Source organism: Homo sapiens, chromosome 8 (assembly GCF_000001405.40).
Source record: "Homo sapiens chromosome 8, GRCh38.p14 Primary Assembly".
Lineage (NCBI taxonomy): Eukaryota > Metazoa > Chordata > Mammalia > Primates > Hominidae > Homo > Homo sapiens.
This window is the reverse complement of record NC_000008.11, coordinates 129830372-129834559: the sequence shown is the minus strand read 5'-3', so window position 1 is coordinate 129834559 and position 4188 is coordinate 129830372. Positions and strand designations below refer to the sequence as shown.

The 4188-nt window shown below is 45.0% G+C and overlaps 2 annotated features.

Moving 5' to 3' along the window:
• Positions 304–1115: an enhancer, noted in NCBI's record as "OCT4-NANOG-H3K27ac hESC enhancer chr8:130845691-130846502 (GRCh37/hg19 assembly coordinates)". NCBI's record gives its function as "activates a minimal SCP1, AML or CMV promoter by ChIP-STARR-seq in naive H9 embryonic stem cells {active_cell/tissue: H9 hESC(naive)}" and the evidence as "EXISTENCE:reporter gene assay evidence [ECO:0000049][PMID:30033119]".
• Positions 1116–1928: an enhancer, noted in NCBI's record as "OCT4-NANOG-H3K27ac hESC enhancer chr8:130844878-130845690 (GRCh37/hg19 assembly coordinates)". NCBI's record gives its function as "activates a minimal SCP1, AML or CMV promoter by ChIP-STARR-seq in naive and primed H9 embryonic stem cells {active_cell/tissue: H9 hESC(naive and primed)}" and the evidence as "EXISTENCE:reporter gene assay evidence [ECO:0000049][PMID:30033119]".

The window sequence follows — 4188 nt, the reverse complement described above, 5'->3', positions numbered from 1 at the left end:
TTTGTACATTGTTTGAATGTTCTGAAATGTCCTGAAAATATGTTTTATTGTGAACCCAACTTCCTCCCTTTGTGTTAGGAACTTGATGGGCTCTTAGATCTGGAAACTCATATCTTAAGTATGGAATATTTTCTTGAATTATTTTGTTGATGATTTCCTCTCCATTTTTAAAAATGTGTGTGTTCTTTTATTTTGGAACTTGTTTCATTCAGATGTTAGGCTTACTGAACAGCTGCTCTAAAAGTCTTGTTTCTCTCCTATTTTTCATCTTTTGGCTTTTTGCTTTACTTTTTAGGAAGCTGCCTCAATTTCATCTTCTAATCCCTCTATTGGATTTTTTATTTCTCCCATCAGAGTTTGAATTTCTAAGAGTTCTTTTTATGTTCTCTCAGTGTTCATTTAAAAATATCATCTTGTTATTATTGCAATAATTTTTCTTCTATTTCTCTGAGGATGTCAATGATGAAAAAAATACAATATATACTTTCTTCTTTCTGCATGCATTCCTCCCAATCTGCTTTTTTGGTTTGTTTTGGTCTCTGTCTGTTTCTGAAATGTCTGGTGATCCTTGTCTGCTCCCACTTTGGAGAGGGGTGTTAAAAAGCATATCAGGAGTACTGAGCAGATGAGCAATGCTTATTAACAGTGAGCTTCACCAACGGCCAGTGGTGCCCAACTTGGTTGAGATTAGAATCATCTAGTGCTTTTGAACTTCTCAATGACCTTACCACAGAACAATTAAACCAGAATTGTGGGGTGGACCCCAGGCATCAGTTTTTTTTTTTTTAAAGCTCCCCAGTGGATTCCTGTCTGCACCTAGGGCTGAAACCTCTGCTAAGGGTTTCAAACCATCTGCCCCGCTGTTTCCTTGGGGAAATCAGATGTCTCAGGGAAACCAGATGTCTGTATCAGTTGGTCTTTTTCTTAAACTGAGTCCCCAGGGAGGAATCTTCCAGTCTTCTGCCTGGAAGGCAAAATCCTGGCTGCCTGCCGTTTGGGAACCCAGTAAAAGCTGGGCTGGATGGAAGTAGCCTTTCAAGTGTAAATGATCACTTATTCCTTTCTTTTCATTTCTTTTCTTTTTTCAAGACAGGGTTTCACACCTGTTGCCCAGGCTGGAGTGCAATGGCATGATCTCAGCTGACTGCAACCTCTGCCTCCTGGGCTCAAGCAATTCTCCCACCTCAGCCTCCTGAGTAGCTGGGACTACAGGAGCACACCACTGCACCCGGCTAATTTTTATATTTTTAGTAGAGTTGGGAGTTTCACGATGTTGGCCACGCTGGTCTCGAACTCCTGAGCAATCCTCCTGCCTTGACCTCCCAAAGTGCTGGGATTACAGGCGTGAGCCACTGTGCCTGGCCTATTCCTTTATTTTCAGTTTGATACCATTGTTCACAGTTGTGCCGGGTGATCCCCAGCCTAGTGACTCTGTCTTCTGCTCAAGTAAGGGAGGGGCAGTCTCCAGCTATGGAGTAAGGGATATCTGAAGATCTGATCTGTTTCTTAACAATACATTTTCAAAGATTATTTTAGCCTCTGTGCCCCGGACTCCCTATTTCCTCCCATGACCCCCTCCCTGAGATACTGGATCCTCTGGAGGACTCTGCAGTCTGTGGCCTGCAAGAAATGGGCTGCACAGCAGGAGGTGAGTGGTGGGCGAGTGAGTGAAGCTTCATGTATATTTACAGCCACTCCCCATCACTCACATTAGCACCTGAACTCCACTTCCTGTCAGATCGGTGGAGGCATTAGATTCTCATAGGAGCATGAATCCTCTTGTGAACTGTGCATTTGAGGGCTCTAGGTTGTGTGCTCCTTATGAGAAGCTAATGCCTGACGATCTGTCACTGTCTCCCATCACCTCAAGATGGGACTGTCTAGTTGCAGGAAAATCAGCTCAGGGCTCCCACTGATTCTACCTTATGGTGAGTTGTATAATTATTTAATTATATATTACAATGTGTTAATAATAGAAATAAAGTGCACAATAAATGTAATGCACTGGAATCATCCCGAAACCATTCCCCCAACATCCGTGGAAAAATTGTCTTCCAGGAAACTGGTCCCTGGTGCCAAAAATGTTGGGGACCACTGCTCTATAGGCTCTAGGGGCGAATACTTCCTTGCCTCTTCCTGGCTTCTGGTGGATGCCGGCATCCTTGGTGTTCCTGGGCTTGTACGCATCACTCCAACCTCTGCCTCCATCTTTACATGGCCTTCTCTTCTCTGAGGGTCTCTGTATTTCCATCTGCTCTTCTGTAAGAACACCAGTCATTGGATTAGGGCCCACTTTCACTCAGGATGTCCTGTTAAAGAAAAATTTATTCAAGACCCTTATTAAAGAATGGTATGGAAGGCTTTATACAGGACCATTGCCATAGGCATAGGGACCCCTAAAGTGGGGTTTTGCAGTAGAGGAGAGAGATTAGGCTCAACTCCAAATACAACAAGAGTAGTGACAGTAACAGAGTAAGTAAGTCAAGTAACAGAGTAGTGGGGTTGGTGGATGGAAAATTGTTTAGAGGAAACATCAGGGGAATTCTTACTAAACAGACTGATAGGGTTTGGCTGTGTCCCCACTGAAATCTCATCTTGAATTGTACTCCCATAATTCCCATGTGTTGTGGGAGGGACCTGGTGGGAGATAATTTGAATCATGGATGGGGCAGTCTCCCCCATGGTGTTATCTTAGTGAATAAATCTCACCAGATCTGATGGTTTTATCAGGGATTTCTGCTTTTGCATCTTCTTCATGTTCTCTTGCCGCCACCTTGTAAGAAGTGCATTTCACCTCCCGCATGATTATGAGGTCTCCCCAGCCATGTGCAACAGTAAGTCCAATTAAACTTCTTTTTCTTCCCAGTCTTGGGTATGTCTTTATCAGCAGTGTGAAAATGGACTAATATAGTAAATTAGTACTAGTAGAGTGGGGCATTGCTGAAAAGATATCCAACAATGTGGAAGCGACTTTGGAACTGGGTAACAGGCAGAGGTTGGAACAGTTTGGAGGGCTCAGAAGAAGACACGAAAATGTGGGAAAGTTTGGAACTTCTTAGAGACTTGTTGAATGGCTTTAACCAAAAGCCTGATAGCGATATGGACAATAAGGTCCAGGCTGAGGCAGTCTCAGATGGAGATGAGGAACTTGTTAGGAACTGGAGCAAAGGTGGTTCTTGTTACGTTTTAGCAAAGAGACCGGCAGCATTTTGCCCCTGCCCTAGAGATTGGTGGAACTTTGAAATTGAGGGAGATGATTTAGGGTATCTGGTGGAAGAAATTTCTAAGCAGCAAAGCATTCAAGAGGTGACTTGGGTGCTGTTAAAGGCATTCGTTTTATAAGGGAAACGAAGCATAAAAGTTTTGAAAATTTGCAGCCTGACAATGTGATAGAAAAGAAAAACCCATCTTCTGAGGTGAAATTCAAGCCAGCTGCAGAAATTTGCATAAGTAACAAGGAGTCAAATGTTAATCCCCAAGACAATGGGGAAAATGTCTCCAGGGCATGTCGGATGTCTTCCCAGGGGCCTAGGAGAAAATGATTTCATGGGCTGCACCGTGCTTTGTGCAGCCTAGGGACTTGGTGCCCTGAATCCCAGCAGCTCCAGCTGTGGCTGAAAGGGGCCAACATAGAGCTCAGGTCATGGCTTCAGAGGGTGCAAGCCCCAACCCTTGGCAGATTCCACATGGTGTTGAGCCTGTAAGTGAACAGAAGTCAAGAACTGGGGTTTGGGAACCTCTGCCTAGATTTCAGAAGATGTATGCAAATGCCTGGATGCCCAGGGAGAAGTTTGCTGCAGGCGTGGGACACTCATGGAGTGCGGAAGGGAAATGTGGGGTTGGAGCCCCCACACAGAGTCTCTACTTGGGCATTGCCTCATGGAGCTGTGAGAAGAGGGCCATCGTCCTCCAGACCCCAGAATATTAGATCCACTGACAGCTTGCACTGTGCGCCTGGAAAAGCTGCAGACACTCAACTGACCAGCCCATGAAAGCGGCCAGGAGGGAGGCTATACCCTGCAAAGCCACAGAAGCGGAGCTGCTCAAGGCCATTGGAAACCACCTCTTGCATCAGCTGACCTGTTGTGAGACCTGGAGTCAAAGGAGATAATTTTGGAGCTTCAAAATTTGACTTCCCTGCTGGATTTCAGACTTGCATGGGCCCTGTAACCCCTTTGTTTTGGCCAA